At 48.5% G+C, this 20,004-nt stretch overlaps 1 protein-coding gene and 1 long non-coding RNA gene across 12 annotated transcripts in view; one reads left to right on the top strand and one right to left on the bottom strand.

Moving 5' to 3' along the window:
• The window catches only part of KAZN (kazrin, periplakin interacting protein), a 1,225,220-nt gene that overhangs the window by 907,689 nt on the left and 297,527 nt on the right, over positions 1–20,004 (top strand). The window lies entirely within an intron of this gene.
• On the bottom strand, positions 895–4,694 carry LOC105376759 (uncharacterized). Its single transcript, XR_001737612.2, has 3 exons — positions 4,557–4,694; positions 2,800–2,912; positions 895–965 (listed from the first exon to the last, which is right to left on the bottom strand). It is a non-coding gene; the product is annotated as an uncharacterized LOC105376759 (long non-coding RNA).

Below are 20,004 nucleotides of genomic sequence, written 5' to 3' on the forward strand. Positions count from 1 at the left end.
CAACATAGTGAGACCCCATCTCTACTACAAAACATTAAAAAATTAGCTTGGTGTGGTGGCACATGCCTGTGGTCCCAGCTACTCTGGAGGCTAAGGTGGGAGGATCGCTTGAGCCTGGGAGATGGAGGCTGCAGCGAGCCATGATTGCAACACCACACTCCAGCCTGCACAACAGAGTGAGGCCCTGTCTCAAAAAAGAGAATGAAGCACATGCTACAACATGCATGTCCCTTGAAAATGTGATGCTATGTGAAGCCAGTCACAAAAGACTACACGTTGTATGATTCCATTCATAGGAAATGTCCAGATTAGGGAAGTCTGTACATTAGGAAGACAGAAAGTAGCTTCGTAGTTGCCGGGGACTGTGGGAGGGGAAGTGGGGAGTGACTGCTCGTGGGTAGGGGTTTCTTTTGGGGCTGATAAAAATGTTCTGGAATTAGGTTACGGTGATAGTTGCACAACCTCATGAATATGCTAAAAAACACTGAATTGTACACTTTAAAAGGGTGAATTTTATGATCGATGAACTTTATCTCAAAAAAAAAAAAAAGAAATACGTGGGAGAAAAAGAGTCACGGGGCGCAGAGGGTGGTGATAAGAGGAGCCGTTCTAATCGTCGCGGCAAAGCAGAGGCAGGCAGTGAGTGGGGGGCTTTCCGGCAGCTGCCCTCTCGAGCCAGTCGGAGCCGTCTCAGGGTGTTTCAGCATCATCGTGGCTTTCTCTCTCCGTCACCGCTCAGCAAGCTCCTCGGGGAAATGTGCGTCTCTCCTGAGTCCAGGGAGTCAAAACCAGGAGAAAGTCTGTGCCGTTATGACTGGCTGACTGGCGCTCACTGTCGGTTTCGTGACGAGGGGTGGCACGCACAGGTGAAGCCAGGTGTGAGGGGTCAGGCAGGTGACGACACATTCCGCAGTCCAGAGAGTGGCTGGGTCCCTTCTCCGCAGGCTCTTGGGGCTCTCCTAGGACTGAGAGGGTGATTTAGGATGGCCATCCTCCATAAAACCTACACCTCCCCGGGAAGGAGCAGAGGCCTCCCCAGATAGTGGCCGTTTACCATGCCCTGGGCTTCCTCAGGAGGGCTATGACGGCCTGGCCTGCTCCGACACAGACTGCTGATGAGTTTATGTACTTGGGCTGCAAGGTCTCTCCTAAAGTTTTTTTTGTTTTTTTTGTTTTTTTGTTTTTTTTTTGAGTGGAGTCTCGCTTTGTTGCCCAGGCTGGAGTGCAGTGGCTTGATCTCGGCTCACTGCAAGCTCTGCCTCCCGGGTTCATGCCATTCTCCTTCCTCAGCTTCCTGAGTAGCTGGGACTACAGGCACCCGCCATCACGCCCAGCTAATTTTTTTGTATTTTTAGTACAGACGGGGTTTCACCATGTTAGCCAGTATGGTGTCTATCTCCTGACCTCGTAATCCGCCCGCCTTGGCCTTCCAAAGTGCTGGGATTACACGCGTCGGCCACCGTGCCTGGCCTCTCTCCTAAACTTTTTCTCTGCGCTGAAGAGAGCTGTCCTCTGAGCCCTTCCTCTGTCATGCCCTGCTTTTTAGAATGATCTCGTCCAGAAAGCTTTCGTCGACTCTCTCCATGTGGTAGTTTTCAAAATTGGGACAATGGCCGGGCATGGTGGCTCACACCTGTAATCCCAGCACTTTGGGAGGCCAAGGCTGGTGGATCACTTGAGGCCAGGAGTTTGAGACCACCATGGCCAACATGACAAAACCGTCTCTACTCAAAATACAAAAATTAGCCAGGTGTGGTGGTTTGTGCCTGTAGTCCCAGCTATTAGGGAGGATGAGGCAAGAGAACTGCTTGAACCCGGGAAGCGGAGGTCGCAGTGAGCTGAGATTGTGCCACTGTACTCTAGCCTGGGTGACAGAGCAAAACTCTTGTCTCAAAAAAAAAAAAAAAAAAATTGGGACAATTTTGCCACCCAGGGGACACTGGGCAATACCTGGAGATGTGTCTGGTTGGCACAACTGGTATGGGGGGGTTACTAGTGAGATCTGGTCAGTGGAGACCTGGAATGCTGCTCACTGTCCTACTATATGCACGGAACAGCCCCCATAACAGAGAAGTGTCTGGTCCCAGAGCGCAGCCGTCTCGGGGCTGGGAAACCTGCTCCTGTGCTTCCACGATCAGGGGGTTGCTTCCCGGCACCGCTGTTCACAGACACTGTTCCAACACCATGAGTTTACACTGGAGACTTCTTCGTAGACACGGACCCTGTTGGGCCAGCTGGCCTCTTTTAAGGGTTAAATGTGATGATTAACAGGACAAGGAGCCTGTCACATCATGAGCACTCGGTGATGGAGCCTGTTATTCTTATCACTGTTGTCTTGGGAGGGCACTCAGTGGAACGAGAAGGGAACGAGGAGTGAGCAGCATTGGCTTGAATGCTGGCCCTGTCCCCAACCCACAGAGGGGCTGAGGAAAGCCACCTACCTCTCCGAGCCTGATTCCTTCATCGCAAACATGGAAATATTGCTTTCTGACCCACCCTCCTCCCAGTGTGTTCATGAAGACAGAGTTACATTATGTATGCAAATGTGATTTAAAAGAGAAGTGAGAGATACATGTTATTGTGCCTAATACTACATCATGGCTACCGTTTACTGAGGGCTCCTTATAAGACAAACGCTGTGCTAAAGCCTCCCTTCATCTGCGCAGTGTCTGCTGAGGAAAGTATTGGTGTCCCCATTTTACAGAGGAGGAAACTGAGGCTTAGAGAAGTGAAGCAAGTCATCCTCAGGTACCCAGGTGGGGATTAGCGGAGGGGGATTCAGCCCCGGATGTAGCTGACCTGTTTCTTCACTGCTGTCTCCACGATTGGTGAGTGATCAGTGCCAGACCCGACTGTCCCTCCTGTCCCTGGTGCATGAGTTGGCCCTGATGAAAGTTCAGGCATCGAGGTCCCTGGAAAAGGACCAGGGAGTGAGATGCTGAAGCTGCCATCCTCCTTCTGACCCTGATGGCAGGAATGTCTAGCTGGGCGGGAGAGGGCCCCATGCCAATGTTGCCTCCCACCTGGAGCGAGTGCTCAGCCCCGCCCTGAGTGCCCGTGGCTCTGGCTGTCCTCCATGAATGATGCCCCAGCTCCGTCTCTCCAACAGAAATTAGGCAGAGCCACAAGTGGGCCCCCAAAATCCCTCTTCCTCTGGGGAGTCACTCCAGTGCTTTACGACGGCACCTCCCGAGCCCTGCTCTCACGGCCTGGAGAGGCGATGCCAAGGCTTTCCTTCACCCTCCCCTTCTCCACGGAGGGCTGGCACTCCACATTGGCGCTCTGGAGCCACTGGATGTGGTCAGCAGGCAGGAGCCTTGGTGGCCTTCCTTCCAATCCATGCCTTCCTCTTCCATGTGCTAGGACTTAAGGAGCCCCAAGGCAGATCCTGTCCTCCAGTGAACATGGTGCATTTCATCAGAGCCCGCTCACACCCCAGCACCCAGAAAGATAAACACTGTCCCCTAGTCCTCACCCAGTCCCTGTCCTTTTCCCTCTTCTCAGCCTCTTGCCTGATCTTGTGTCCCATTCCAATGCCTGCCAGCTCCTGGCCTAGCAAGCTTTGCCCCCAGGTCTAGCTCCAGGGCTCACAAATGGTTCTGTTGGACCCCTGGTGTCATCTTTGGACATGGTCTGTGCTGTCCCCCTCCACACTTGGCTCCTGGCAATTCTGTTGGGCAGGGGTCTTTATTGCAAGGAAGAGAGGCCAGCCCTGGAAACAAACGTAAGCAAAGTGGGAAATTAATTCAGAGGATCTGGCAGAGCTCCCCAGTCCAAAGGAAAGCTGATGAGCAAGGCTTGGAAGGCTCAGGTCTTGGGCAGCCAGGATGCCAGGAAGCAGGGACCCCATGGATGGGCTGGGTGGGGCTTACAAGCCTCTGGCTTGTAAGTCCTTGTGTCTCCCCACTCAAAACTCCCATGCCAGGAACAGAGGGTCTGTTGGGCTAACTCGGGCCCAGTGGGGTCAGCCAGCCTCAACCATATGAGTTGAGAGTACAGGGGAGATCTCCCACAAAACCCGGGTGCTACTACCGGAATAGGGAGATGGAGGCAAAATAGCAGATGTCAACACATCACCCCTGTTTACCAAGCCCTGACCCCCGATGTACCCAATCCTCAGCTTTGCAATGGAAAAAGAGGCCTCCCCACGTCCAGTCTTTTTAGGAGAGACACATCAGGCTCTTTGGTTCAACTTCTGAAAATGCACAGATACAGGTAAGGAGTCAACACCACAGAGACTCTGGCAGGATGCTAAGTTCTGAGTGGCAGATCAAGACGAGCTGTGGTCATAGCCAGGCTAGGAATGGTGCCTCAGCTCCACGGCTCCCTCTGGGGACCCCTGGAGGAACTCCCCAGAGGGACAGCTAGGCGTAATTGGCACCACATGGGTGGAGGTCTTGGTGACCAGCTTGGCATGCCCGTGGTCTGCCATGTTCATTTTGTTGACATTTAATTATTTTAATTATTTCCTTTTCATGTTTGATGTGGGGCAAGCCACTTGCTCAAACTCCCTGGACCTCAGAGTCCTCCTCTGTAACATGGGGAGAAAACCGTACCTGTTGTGCAAAGTGACTGCAAAGGTTGAAGAGCGTACTAGTCGGGGTATAGGTGAAGGTGCTGGAACAGAAGTCCTGGAAGGCAGTAAACAAGCTACAAGGGTGTTTTTCTCTTCTGTGAGAGTCCAGAGGAGGTGGTCCAGGGTAGCTCTGCCCCATGAGGTTGTCCAGAGACCCAGATTCCTTCTGCTTTGTTGCTGTGCCTCACGCTGGGGTGTTGCTTCAGGGCCGAAGCTGACTCTCCATTCCCTTTGCAGCCCACAGCAGGGGAGAGGGGAGGTAGAGGCAGTTTCTTTAAATGATGTGATCTGTAAGTTTACCCAGCTCCACCAGTCGTTTTCCATTGGCCAGAACGTGGCTGCACTTAGCTACAAAGGAAGCTGGAAAAATGGAATATCTGGGTTACTAGGCCGGGTGCGGTGTCTCACACCTATATTCCCAGCACTTTGGGAGGCCAAGGCGGGCAGATAACCTGAGGTCAGGAGTTCGAGACCAGCCTGACCAACATGGTAAAACCCGTCTCTACTAAAAATACAAAAATTAGCCCAGCATGGTGGCTCATGACTGTAATCCCAGCTACTCGGGAGGCTGAGAAAGGAGGAGAATCACTTGAACCTGGGAGGTGGAGGTTGCAGTGAGCAGAGATCGCGCCAATGCACTCCAGCCTGGGAGACAGAGCAACACCCCATCTCAAAATAATAATAATAATAATAATAATAATAATAATAATAATAATAAATTAAAATCTGGCTAGATAGGTGGGAGCTGGATCTGGGGGGAAAGGAGGTGGAGAGAATATTCCATAACTGCACTTGAAGGGGGTGTACATGCTGGGAGGCGATTGCAGTGTTTGCCACTTGCAAGATAATACAATTAAAGAACAACTAGCCTTAATGTGCAGTAAGGGCTCAGTGGATGGTAAAGGTTGCTTTTAGAATTCTTCCTCTTAGGAGGAACAGGCAAAGCATCTCTTGTTTCAGTGTTCCTGGAGGCCAGACTATAACATAAATGTGAGGGCATGGCCTTTGATGGCTTTTCCACCAGGGCCCTGGGACCACTGGAGGAACTCCCCAGGGTTCCTCTGGCCTTTAGGGAAAAGCCTGAAGCTCCTCAAGGGTGTGGCCAATCTCCCCCAGGTACTCAGACACCTCTGTTCCCTTTGTCTCAGCATCTGATGCCAGCTCGTTAATGGTTCCATCACCCCACAGGGGCACCTAGACATGATTGACACTCCCTGGGAGGGGGTTTTGGCTAGCAGCTTGGCATGTCAGTCCATGGCCTGCCGTGTTCATTTTTTTGACATTCAATTATATTTCTTATTTTATCATTTGGCAGACCAGCTTCCTGGCAAGATGCTGAATTATGCTTGAAGCCAATCATCCCCTGCAGACACCTTCTCATTTGGGCTTTCTCAGCCGGATGGCTCTCAGAGAACACCAATGAGGGGTTGATTGGCAGGAGAGATCCTGGGAGTCCAAGGGAATATGCAGACAGGCACTGTCTTCCATTTTCTTCATGTTGTCTGCCCCCATTCAGAAACACACCAGGCTTCTTGACTGTGCTATTATTAAGGAATTTGGGTACATTTAATTATTCATTGATCTGTGCAGAATCTAACACACTCCCAACCTAACCACTACCATCCCTGTCTAATCTTGAGCTACTGTCAGGGAGTAGCTTGAGAGGGGCTTATTGGCACCCTCTGCTCCAAGGTTTGGAGCCACTGGACTGAGATGTGGCAGAACCGAGTTTGAATCCAGATAGTCTGGGTAACATTTGTACCCACTCTGCAGGAGCATGTGGAATATATAAACTCATCAACAATCCCACTCTTGTTCTCACATGCCCACCTATCTTGCAGAGACCAGAAAGCTGGAGCTTTGTGTCAGGACTCCCTTGCAGCTAGGGATCTGCATGGATCCAGGTTTGGCCAACAGAGATTGAGATGGTTGGCAGGAGGCAGAGGCCACTTCTGCTGGCCAGCATGTTGCTGAGGCACTTGGTTTCTCTGTGGCCGTTTCAGCAGTGTCCCTATGCCCTATGGGGCTTGAGAAGTGGGCCCAGCACATCTATTTTGCTGGTGCAGATCTGGGCAGGCACAACCTGGTTTCAGGACAACCAGCAGGAGGGCACAGCTTCCTGACTGTGGCAGAGGACATTAGGTTCTGGGGCTGCCTGGGTCTGATTCCTGGAAGAGGCAGCAGCCACCTTGGGGGCCCAGTTCAGCAGTGTGGCTTTGCGAGTCATTCTGAAAATCTCTGGTTTTTCAGCTCTTCCTACAATTCCATAAGCCACTTAGTATCCTGTAATAAATACCTTCTTGCTTGAAGTAGCCAGAAGAGTCTGTTCTCTTAACTGACTCTGGTCAACATGATGCTAGGCCAAAATATATTTATTACTGATAAAACTAATCTTGAGGTCCATGCATGGTGGCTCACACCCGTAATCCCAGCCCTTTGGGAGGCCAAAGCGGGAGGATCACTTGAGCCCAGGAATTTGAGACTGGCCTGGGCAACAGAGTGAGACTCTGTCTCTACAAGTTAAAAAAGAATTAGTCGGGCATGGTGGTGTGCACCTGTGGTCCCAGCTACTCAGGAGGCTGAGATAGTAGGATCATCTCATCTCAGGAGGTTGAGGCTGCAGTGAGCCATCATCACGCAACCACACTGCAGCCTGGGTGACAGAGTAAGACCCTGCCTCAATTAAAAAAAAAATCCTAATATTGGGGAAGGTAGTGTGTATCTGTGGGCAAATCAGCCCCCAAATTAGACCTATTTCCCCACCCAGACACAGGCAACCCTGGCTTGGAGCAGCCTCCACTCCCCTAGAGATAGAGCCTGCCCCTCAACTACAAAAGTCTGTGGAGGAGCAGAGCAGATCATATGCCTTCTGTAGGCAGCTCACTCCCAAGACAAAGGAGCAAGGAAGGACTGGCTCCATTGTGCTCAGTTCTTTAGCCTATACCTGCCAGGCAAATAAACCAGTCCCACCTGGGGTGGCAGTGAATGAGGAGATTATGGATAGAGTTGGCTCCAAGTGCCAGTTTCCAACACTGAGATACTGTGAGCCTGTGAATAGAGATTGTGAGCATGAAATTGCTGTGTGAAAGCAAAGGCGGTGTATGTTCTAGACCATGTGACTCTGGGTGCAATAAACAGAGTAAAAGTTTCCTTTGTGCAACTCTCAGGGGCAGGAGACATTGTTCCAGATTAAAGAGGTTTCTTTTTTTTTTTTTTTTTTTTTTTGAGATGGCGTCTCACTCTGTCACCCCAGGCTGGAGTGCAGTGGTTCGATCTCAGTTCACCGCAACCTCTGCCTCCCGGGTTCAAGCAATTCTCCTACCTCAGCCCCCTGAATAGATGGTATTACAGGCAAGTGCCACCACGGTCGGCTAATTTTTTTTTTTTTTAGTAGAGACGGGGTTTCACCATGTTGGCTGGGCTGGTCTCAAACTCCTGACCTCAAGTGATCCACCCACCTCAGCCTCCTAAAGTGCTGGGATCACAGGTGTGAGCCACTGCACCCGGCCAAGGTTTCTAAATAATGGATGCTTTGCCTCTTTCAGAGATGACATGTCTCAAAGTCTTAGACTCTGGGGGATGTCCATCTGAGATGTATTATTACAAAAAGAAATTATAATATATTATTTGAGATACTTTGGGCCACAGATAACAGAATACCCAACAGAGTCTTAAACAATAAATAAATCTCATTTCTTACAGAACAGAAAGTCTTAAGTTCTCAGAGTTGGTTTAGGGCTCAGCAGTGTCATCAAGGACTGACATTCATTCTGTATTTCCTCCCCTGAATCCTAGCACACTGGAGAAGCCTTCCCTCATGGTCACAAAACGGCTGCCACAGCTCCAAGCATCACATCATAAACCCATTTCCAAAGCAGGAAGGAAGGGGTGGTGGTAAAACAACAACAACAAAAAGAGTTTCTAGTCATGTGACTCTCTGCTTCATCACAGAGGAGAATCTTTCTCAGAAATTCCTAAGCTAATTCACCCTTACATTTTACTGACCAGAACAGGGCCCCAGGTCTATTCCTAGAAAAACCACTGGCAAGGAGGAATGGGACGCTGAGGGCCAAGTTTGGCCAGTCTTGGGGCTGAGCACATTACCTCCCAAACAAAATCAGAGCCTGGTGGCACAGAATAAGCCAAGTGGGTGTTGGGCCGGGAAGCGGTCATCAGTGCTGTGTGATGCAGAGGTGTCTGGAGAGGCTGGTGAGGTGAGGGGCAGGCAACCATTTGTCAGGAGCCAAATGCCTAGACAGCTGTGCTTTCTGAATTCTTCTCTCCCTCTGTGACTTTGCTCTTCCTCCCTCACCGTCAGGCTGCCAGGTGTCACTTCCTGCTCACACCTATGTGCCGGTTGGTACCAACATCACTTCCTGCTTTTGATTTTTTCCTTTAACTGGATGTGAATGTAGAAACTTGCAAGGGTGCAGGGGAGTGCACTGATTGGACTCTGACAGTGTGTTATTGAATTCCAAGTGCCCTATTCTGAAAGTATTTCCGAATACAATTGTCTCCAGAGCTGGCTAGAGCCAGAATCCTATTTGGTTTGATTTTTTAAAAATTTCTGGTAGGCAGAATAAGCTTTACTGGAGTAACCCCAGCCTTGGAGGGCTAGGGTATGAAGCCAGCATGTACAGTGCTCGCCGTGTGGGTGGTAGGCATTGCTGCATGCCTGTAGACCCGGGAGATGGCAGTGGCTGGGAGGCTTGCAGTCTGATGTCACCCCATCACAGGCCACAGTGCTGGTGGGTCTATAAGCCAGGTCCCTTCCACCAGGGGCATTTCCACCACCATCAACTCTGCCAAGGATCATGAAAAACATAATACAAGGTAACGGGCTAGATCAGGATTTCTCAGCCTCAGAACTGTTGACATTTGGGGCTGGATACTCTTTGTTTTCGGAGGCTGTCTTGTGCATTGCAGGTGCATTATAGATGTTTAGCAGGATTCCTGGCCTGTACCCTACTAGACCCCACTAGCCACCACTTCCTTACCCAGTAATAATAATGTCCCTAGACATTAATTATCAATGATAATCACTAATCATTATTGATCAATATTCATGATTATTAATCAGCCCCAGTTGAGAACTTTTGGGTTCAAGAATCATGGACTGGGAGGCCGAGGTACCTTAGAGGGCAGGACCTTCCCTGAACACCTTTCCTAAGGGAGCACCGCACCCCCATCACCTCATCTCTCTCCAACCCCGTACCTTGCTTGCTTTTCTTCAGAACTCTTATCATCCACTGGATTTCTCTTATTTTGTTTATTTGATTGTCTGTTGGCTGATTTTCTGCTCAGGGGCCTGGACCAGATCTGCCTTCCTCGTTGTGGCATCCTCAGCCCCCAGCCATTGTTTGGCACAGTGTGAGGTTTAGCAAATGTCAGCAGAATGAATGAATCTCAAAGTTCCACCAGAGATTCCCAAAAGGAATACTTTAATGAGTGTCCACTCCGCTCTAGACACTCTGATGGACATGACCCCCTCCCACCCCACATTAGCTCATTCAGTCTTGAAAATAAGGAAGCTAAGGCACAGAAAAGTCTAGTACCAAACTGCTAGCAAATGATAGAGGCAGGATGTGAACTCAGGCCTGCCGGATTCCAGGGTGTGGCTTGTTGGGGACACCAGGCTGCTTTCCCAAGGACATGAGGGTGGCCTAGAGGAGCGGCCTCCAGACCTCTGACTGGGGGCATCCTGCAAGAAAGCCGAGTCATGAGAAAACCAGCCTCCCAGGGTGGGGACAGGCCAGGTCCAGCCGTAGCCTGCCAGCCCAAATGGGCCAGGAAGTCAGTGCTGGGGCCTTGGCACTGCCTGGAGCACCATGGCCAGCTTGTCCTTCTGAGGGCATAGGACATCCAAGGCCCTAGACAACTTCCGTCTTTTCAGATTTGGAGATTTATGGACCAACTGCTCTTTGGTGGCCTCCAAAATGTTTCTTTTTCTTTGCAAAGGGAAACCACAATCCAAATCTTTCAACCATTTCCCCCCTCAAAGCAACATGAGAAATGTGGTCCAGAGGAATTCCTCGCCCTCCCCCAACCGACAGCACAATTGTCAGAAAACTCTGAGATGAAACAGGATTTTTGTGGTGCTTTTTCTTCCCCACCCTGTCCCCTCACAGTAATTAGCACGTCAGCTTTCTCTTGTGGTATTTATGTGTTTATATAACACAGTTCATTGTTCCCAAATGTTAGTCAACTCCAACTATAAATCAAGCCCCAAATCTTGAATCTCATTCAAACTCACAAGTTGATGCTACACGAATAAATCATAAGAGGGTGGGAATGTTATAAAAGTAGAAAACAATTCAGACAAACGCTGTAAATACAGCTCTTGGAACTACTTAGTGAATACGTTAAAACAATTAAATGCCTTGTGCAACATCGAATAGTAGATCAGTATTTTAAATGAAGCCATTTGAAAGTTTCTTTGGCTAAGAATCATTAATATTTTCAGTGCTTTACAGTTCGCAAAGATTTTTTTGCACATTGTTTCATTTACTCTCTTACAACCTTCTTTTAATGTAGGGAAGCAAGCTATTTTACTAAATTCTATCAATTCTAAAGCACACGTTGTTCTCATTTTTTGTCTCTGAAACAAGAATGCATCTTCATATTAAAGGCATGGTAGTTGAATTGGCAGCTTTGTTTTCTTAGTGATACATCAAATGATAGTGCATGTTATAAATGATGGTGTCCTAGATTTAATGAAATGCATATTATGATGATCCCTGTTGCACGGGGGAAATGACAAACCCTGAGATGTTACAGACTTGGCCCAAGGTCACGCAGTGAGTAAATGGAAGAATGAAAACTTGAACCTGAGAAGGGCAAGGTCTTCAAAATCCATCTAAGTACCCCAAGGATGGTCCTGAACTGCCCTCTGCAGATGGTGATCCCGATAACTGAAGAACTTTTGTTTTTCTGGAAAGAGGATGTAAGTTTGGAGCCAGAGCAGAACTGCTTAAGATGTTAGAAGGGACACCGAGAGCTGTCACATCTTTCCCCACCTTTCCCTTGAAATGTTCAGCACCTCCTCAGAATATTGAGGTAGCATTGCTTTGAAGGGTGTCCCAGGATTAGTCTCTTCTGGCAGGCCAGCCCTCTGTGACTACCTTGAGCAAATTTGATGACACCCTGCCTCCAGGTGGACTCAGTCCCACACCATGACACGGGGCTCACAGAGAGGAGCTCAGACTACATTTCAACCCCTTCACTCCTTAGCTGGTCTCCTTGTACAGTGCACATCTTGAGCAACTGTACTCAGCATCCCTATGCACAGGGCACCCACGTGTCTTCAACTCGTCTTCAGTGGAGGGGTGGTGGAACAAGCATGCCTGACACAGAGAAGGAAGATGTGGACAAATTCAGCAATTATCTTTCTGTCCCGGATCACATTCATTTTTCAAGCCTGGTGGGAATTTTTTGTTGTGTTTTGAAATAGAGTCTTGCTCTATCATCCAGGCTGGAATGCAGTGGTGTGATCATAGCTCACTGCAGCCTCAAACTCTTAGGCCCAAGCAATATTCCCACTTCAGCCTCCTGCATAGTTAGGACTACAGGTGCATGCCACCATGCCCAGCTAATTTTTTAAATTTTTTGTAGAGATGAGGTCTCACTATGTTGCCCAGACTGGTCTCAAATCCTGGCCTCAAGGGATCCTCCTGCCTCAGCTTCCCAACGCATTGGGATTGGAAGTGTGAGCCACCATGCCCAGACTTAAGCTTGATTTGTCTTCTGATGAAGTTTTAGCCTGTGAAAACTCTGACCAAGCGTGGCTGGCAGAAAAGAAGTAGAATCCTTGAAGAAACTCATAGCCTTAAGAAATTCAGTCTTAATTTTAATGGTCTTTCTGGGCCTGTTTCTGAAGACATGCCCTATTAGCTAACCCAACCAACCATTTGCATTAGCTTACTGGTTTGAAGTACTACTTAGTCGGGTAGAAAGAGCTTGTACTTGGAGCTTATTCAGAGTTGGGTTCAGATTTGGATCTCTGTTTCTTTCCAGCTGCTCCCTCTGAAAAAGTGCTAAATGTCTTGAAACCTCAGTCTCTTCATCAATCCACCATTCATGGGTATGGTGGATTAAAGATAACCACATATTCTTTGCTACTCTTTTCTACTTGAGATGTAGAATCTAATCTGCCTTCTCTTGAATCTGGATTAATGACTTGATTGAGTAATACAATGCAACAGAAGTGCATATGGGGACTTCTGAAGCTAGGTCACATATGAAGCCTTGCGGTTTCCACCTGAACTTCTTGGAACGCAGCTGCCATGTTGTGAGGCAACCCAAGCTGCCCATGGAGAGGTCTCCATGGAGAGGAACCAAGGTTTGAGGCTGACAGCCCTAGCTGAGCTTCCAGCTGAAGCCAGCATCAATTTGCCAGCCATGTGAGTGAGTCATCCTGGAAGCGGATCTTCTGGTTCCCATTTGCGACCCCTCGGTTAATGCCATGTGGAGCAGAGTCAAACTGTCCTCACCCACCGCTGCCTGAATGGCAGAGTTGTGAGCAAAATAAATGACTATTGTTATTTTAAGACTAATAGAAGATATAGCCTTCCACCCTAGGTCATATTCACACTCTTTTGTGACCATGGGAAGTTGTCAGCATCAAATTCAAGGAAACTTCCTCTAGTGGACATTTTGGAATGTATTTCCATATGTTCTAGAATGGCTTGTCATGCAGCCATGGATACATGGAATGCTGGAGATGAAAATAATACCTCATTCAGGGGTCGTGTTGAGAATTAAACAAGACAGAGGATGTAGAGCATTTGGGTTGCTGTCCAGTGCACAGTGGGCACCTAGTGACCCATACAAGTAGGCAGCACGTGATCTGCTAAGTACTAATTGTTCTGTCCCGCTGGGATGAGCTTACTCATCCCCCAGGAACTGGGGGCCAGGGTATCACCATAACTTAGAGGGTATTAGACCTCACCTTGCCTCTGTCAATGGGTGATGCCAGCATCGTCAGCCATTGTGGAGCACATCTGATTTCAGGTGAAAATCATTAGACCCTCTACCTTGATGTCCACTAAGGGAAGTTTCCTTGGATGTGAAGCCAACAACTTCCCTTGGTCACAACTGAGTGTGAATATGACACATGGTCAAAGACTGGATCTTTTTTATTATTATTATTACTTTTTTGAGATGGACTCTCACTCTGTCCTCCAGGCTGGAGTGCAGTGGCACCATATCAGCTCCCTGAAACCTCTGCCCCCCGGGTTCAAGTGATTCTCCTGCCTCAGCCTCCCGAGTATCTCCCACGCCACCAAGCACAGCTAATTTTTGTATTTGTAGTAGAGACGGGGTTTCACCATGTTGGCCAGGCTGGTCTCAAACCCCTGAGCTCGTGATCCACCCACCTCAGCCTCCCAAAGTGCTGGGATTGCAGGCGTGAGCCACTGCGCCTGGCCAAAGGCTGCATCTTCTATTGGTCCCTGCTGCCAGTCTCTGCCCCGTGCTCTGAGCACAGACAAACAGGAGACTGGCCTTGCAGTCAAAGATGAGAATCCTTTGAAAACCCAGCAAGGGCTCCTACCTGGCCCTGTTCCAGAGCAGGCACCATGTACCCATGGGGTACACCGAGGCTTCCTTGGGCTCCTGGTGCTTGTTACTCCTGAAATGATCCCAAGCAGGGCTCCAGCCCAGCAAGGAGTAATGGAAGGCATTAGGGGCATTTGTGACCGTGGGAAGTTGTCAGCTTCAAATTCAAGGAAAGTTTCCTTAGTGGACATTTTGGAATGTATTTCTATATGTTCTAGAATGGTTTAGCATGCAGCATGGATACGTGGAATGCTGGAGATGATTAATAATACCTCGTTCAGGGGTCATGTTGAGAATTAAACAAGACAGAGGATGTAAAGCCTTGGGTTGCTGTCCAGTGCACAGTGGGCACCCAGTGGAAGGCAATGAGTGGACTTCCACTCACAGCAGGGCCTGAGTGGGGCTCTGATCAGGGCCTGGGCTTTCAGCTTCCTCTCTCACGCATTTACCAAGGGGCCAGGGACTGACAAGGGTGTGACCTGCTTAGATACTTCCCTGTGCAGCAACAAGACCACAAAATCAGGGTCTATGTGGGTCACTGGGAAAGGGATCACAGGATAGAGGGAAATGCTGCAGTCGTGGGTAATGGAGCTCCTATCCTTCTCTGTGAGGTCAGTGGAAGGGAAGTCAGGAAATTTGCCCCTTCTGGGTGCTGGGCGCTCCCTGAGGCATTCATCCGGTGTCGTTGGCAGTCCTCTGACCCCCCTAAGAGTGCTGAGAAGGTTAAATAAACACTAGACTTAAGCACTTGGCCCAGCTTCCAGTGCAGCGTCACCTGTGAACAATGTTCTTGATAATAACGTTAATGATAATCTTCCAACAACCCTCTGAAATCCGTCCTGTTGTGCCTATTGTGGCAGAAAACTGGAAGCCCAGAAAGTTCAGTGTTGATTATGACAGATCTGGGCAGGATATCATTGCATGTGGGGAGGAAGCAACAGAATCATTGTCTGAATGTCAGAGAAATTAGAGCCATTTTACAAATGGTGCTGGAATTCAATCAAATGAGTCTGGAAACAAACCAGTCTCCCTTTCCCAGGTGCCCACAAACCTGGGAACTTACAGAGGGCTTCCAAGCAGATGGCAGAGCCCATGCTGTGCCACCCAGGGCCACTGAATTGCCTTGCAGAGGCTGAGCAGCTCTGCCCAGCTCCATATCCACATCAGGCAGTGATAAGGCAGCAAACAGCCAGTCATTTTTGGCATCATCTTCCTGGGTTCTGGGCAGATAAAGGAGATCCCATCACTTCTCTGTCTCCAAGGTAGCAACTTCCAGCCTCGAGGCAAATGAACCCCGAGTACACACAACCTGGAGCACCTGCCCTTCTGGGAAGTGCCCTTGGTGACATTTCTCATTCCAAGCCAGGCACCTTAGCAAGGCTGACATTGTAGAAGGCCCGGAGCCTCTTGGAATGCCAGCTTCTGTTGGGGTTTGAGGAGAGGACAAGAGGAGGGTAGGATGGCTTAAGTCTTCTTCTGCTTTCCTTCACCTCTACTTTCAGAACCTACTATGTGTCAGGCACATAGTAGCAATCTACTAGATATCCATTGCAATGTAATGAATCACTACACACTTGGTGGCCTCCAGCAATATACATTTATTATTTCTCAGTTTAGGTCCAGGAGTCCAGGAATGCTTAAATGGGTCCTCTGCTCCGAGTCTCACAAGGCTGCAATCCTTGTGACATTGGCTAGGCTGTGTTCTCATCTGGAGGCTCTACTGGGGAACAACCCACTGCTATGCTCCCTCAGGTTGTGGTCAGAATTCATTTCCTTGTGGCTATCTGAGCAGGTCCCTGGCATTTTGTTGACTGTCACCCAGAGGCCACCCTCAGATTCTAGAAGCTTCCCATGGTTCTTTGCCCTCAGGGCTTCCTCAACATGGCCGCGGACTTCATGGCACCAGCAAGGAGAATCTTGCTAGGGTATACAAGCAAGAGGGAGTCATAGATGATAGAAAGGTAAATAGATAGACAGACAGACATATTAATAGATATAGATACAGATAGATCTAGATATATTTACATGTAGAGATAGATGATAGATATAAATAGATAATGATAAATTGATAGACACATACATATCTAGATAGATAAATATAGATAGATTATAGAATGAATAAATACATACATATATTTATCTAAATAGATAGAGATGGCTGGATGGATAGATGGATGAATGGATGGATAGATGATTGATAGACAGATAGATGGTCCTAGCCACACTCAAAGCTAGGAGATTCTACAGGGTGTAACACCAGGGGACAGAGATCAAAAGAATTCTGCCTATGGCCAGTAACTTGAGAGTTAAGTAGTATCATTTCTATTTTCTAGAAGGGAAACTGAGGTTTAGAGAGATAACTCACCCAAGTTCCAACAGTGGCCATTGGCCAAGCTGGAGTTCAGACCACGCCCTCCTGCCTCTCAATGGGTACTGCTTTGTTGTCATTGTGACAACCCTTCCTTCAGTGCCCCGAGTAATGCTAATTACCTGCACACTGATGTGGACTGTTGAGGCAAAACATCCAGTACTTTCTCTAGGAAACACTCCTTGTGCTCATCATGTACTGTGCAGCATATATCTTGGCGACCCCCTGCCAAATATGAGCTCCAAGAAGGCAAGGGCTGCATCCATCTTGTTCATGGCCATATCTAAGACCCCAGACAGGTTCCTGGCCCATAGTGTGCCCTCTGTAAATAGTCATTCAGTCATTCAACAAATGCCTGTTGAGCTGGACTACATACTGCAGATACCAAGATAATCAAGACATAGCTCTGTCTTCCCGCTCCCCTCCCTATCTAGCATAGCAGAAACATAAAATAAACCACAAGATAGCGTGATATGGCACAAACATTACTATGGCCACCTTCTCAGGGTTATTCATTCTTATGTCCCCAGAGCCTAAAACAATAGTTGGCACATAGTAGGTGCTCAATAATGTTTGCAGATCATTTGTATGCCTTGCTGTCTTCTCTCTGCATATGGTAGAAAATTTAGAAGTCACGTGAGGTTAATTGGTCAAGAGAAAATTAAAAGTACATATAACAGCCTCCCAGTCTAGCTTCCGAAGTCTCTGACCCATCCTACAATCCTGGCACCTCCCTTTTTGAGCAGAGCTTTGCATTTCTAAATAGGAAAAAAAAAAAAAGTCTGTAATTATTAAAACTGTGTATATAGGAGAATTTAGCCTTTCATTTGAGGTATCCTAATGACACTTCAACAACTACTAGGGAAGATAATAGGGTTTAGAGCAATTACACAGCCTGTCAAATACCAAAGATGAGTGATTCAGATTCATGCTCAGAGCTGGAACAATTCTCAGCGGTTTTGCTCATACACAGCTGTTTCATTTAAAATATTTTGGCAGAAAATTGCAAAGTGGGCCATGCTGGCCATCCCTGCTTTGGAAACTTAACTCCTGGCATACCTAACATCATCCTTCTCTTCCCCTCTTATTCCCCCGCCCCACAGCCTCACCTTAATTGCTGCTGGGCAAACTGTTTGAGCGACATGTTTGCAAGTCAAAACTTGACCCTAGAGCTGAAAATGCTGGGTACTTTGTTGCCCCTTCGTCCACTGGAAGATTTTCTGTCTTGTTCTATCATTCACCACTAGGTAACCAGTCCCATGTGTATTGCGAGTGTATATCCATCAAGGTCCTGGCTGAAAACAGATGGCCCACTAAAACTGGGTGATCTGAGAAGAGTTCAATGGGAGACCTGTTGACAAGTGTTCAGTGTGAATTTAAGGAAATCCAGTGTAATAGCGCGTTACCCAGGTGGGTGCCACAGCAGGGAGGCGATACCACCTCTACTTCTTCAGGGACAAGGGTCACGAAGCAGTCAACAGAATTTGGAGAGCATGCCTGCATGGATGTGGGGACAGCCCAGCAGGAGCTGCAGCTTTGAGTTTGAGGCATGAGGCCAACCCCAGCAACAGCACGGGTTTTTGGAAATGCAAAGGCAGGCTGCACCCTCTAGACTCCTCCTGGTGTCTCCCATTGGCCAAACCCAAATGGAGGCCAAAACTCATTGCAGGGAAGGAGCAGACCTCGGATGCATTCCTTGCAGGTCAGCCTCCCAGAACTTTGAGAAGGGGTGAGGGAGGATGTTGAGAGTCGAACTGAAGAGGCCAGGCATGGTGGCTCACACTTGTAACCCCAGCACTTTGGGAGGCCGAGGCAGGTGGATCACTTGAGGTCAGCAGTTCAAGACCAGCCTAGCCAACATGGTGAAAGACCGTCTCTACTAACAATACAAAAATTAGCCAGGCATAGTGGCAGGCACCTGTAATCCCAGCTGCCTGGGAGGCTGAGGCAGGACAATCGCTTGAATCTGGGAGGCAAACGCCGCAGTGAGCCGAGATCGTGCCATTGCACTCCAGCCTGGGCAACAACAGCGAAACTCTGTCTCAAAAAAAAATTGAAGATACTCAGTACCAAGAAGGTCCAAGAAAGTCGACATGTTTTCTGCCCTCAAGAAATGAACCTCTGGCTTAAAACAAAAACCTTGCAAGCAACTAATGATGGGCTAACTTGGTACCGGTATAGAAGGACTCGTTCAATTTACCTTAAATCATTAAGAGTCCCTTGTCAGGGGGCCTGACAGGATCCCAGAAAAAGCCAAATCCTCGAGCTTCAAGAAGAGCTGGAGCTAACTCTCTATGATAGTTAATTTACGTGTCAGCTTGGCTGGGCTGTGGGGCCCAGTTGTTCCATCAAACACGAGTTCAGATGTTGCTGGGAAGGTATTTTGTTGATGGAATTAATGTCCCAAATCATCTGGCTTTAAGTCAAGGTGAGGACCGTTGTTCTTATGGGTGGGCCTCCTCCAACCAGTGGGCAGCCTTACGAATAAAAACTGGTTTTCCCAAAAAACGAAGAAATCCTGCCTCAAGACTGTAACGTGGAAATCCTACCTGAGTTTCCAGTCTGCCAAAGTGCCCTACAGATTTCACAGCCGAGACTGCGGCTCCAAATCCTGCCTGCATTTCCAGCCTGCCCTACACACTTCAGACTTGCGAGTCCCCACCATCATGTGAGCCAATTCCTTTGAAAAAAAATCTTTTTTTTTTTTTTTTTTTGAGAAGGAGTCTCACTCTGTCACCCAGGCTGGAGTGCAGTGGTACGGTATCGGCTCATTGCAACCTCCGTCTCCTGGGTTCAAGCAATTCTCCTCCCTCAACCTCCCGAGTAGCTGGGATTACAGGTGCCCACCACCACACCTGGCTAATTTTTAAATATTTTTAGTAGAGACAGGGTTTCACCATGTTGGCCAGGCTGGTCTTGAACTCCTGACTTCAGTTGATCCACCCGTCTCAGCCTCCCAAAGTGCTACGATGTAGGCATAAGCCACTGTGCCTGGCCCGAAAAAAAATCTATTTATATATATATAGTCCACCCTCACCTCTATCTAATCTAGTGGTTCTCCAACTTTAATGTGCTCAGGAATCACCTGGAGAATTTGTGAATTTATGAAAACAGTTTCCTGGGGCCCTTCCCAAATATGCAGATTCAGTAGGAGTGGCAGGGCCCATGAACTCACATTCTGTGACGTTCACACAGAGGGGCTGGTGCTGCTGGTCAAAGATCACCATTAGAGCAATGCTGGATCATCTATTCAGCCTACTCTCCCTAACTGTTTCCCCGCAGAGGCTTCAGGGCTTTTGAGGGTTACTTAGCCAAGTCATTGCCTCTGTTCCCGGAGCCATCTGCCAATTTCAAGTGCCACATCATCTGGGTATCATGAGAGCCCATCTCCATCTGCCAGCCTGGAAGCAGCCATGGCAAATGGGATGTGTCCCACTGCCCCCGTTTGGTGCCACAGTTGGGTTTATTCTCACAGCTGCAAACCCACGTGCTGGGCTGCACAGCT

The sequence above is a fragment of the Homo sapiens genome, chromosome 1 (assembly GCF_000001405.40).
Source record: "Homo sapiens chromosome 1, GRCh38.p14 Primary Assembly".
In the NCBI taxonomy this organism is placed as follows: domain Eukaryota; kingdom Metazoa; phylum Chordata; class Mammalia; order Primates; family Hominidae; genus Homo; species Homo sapiens.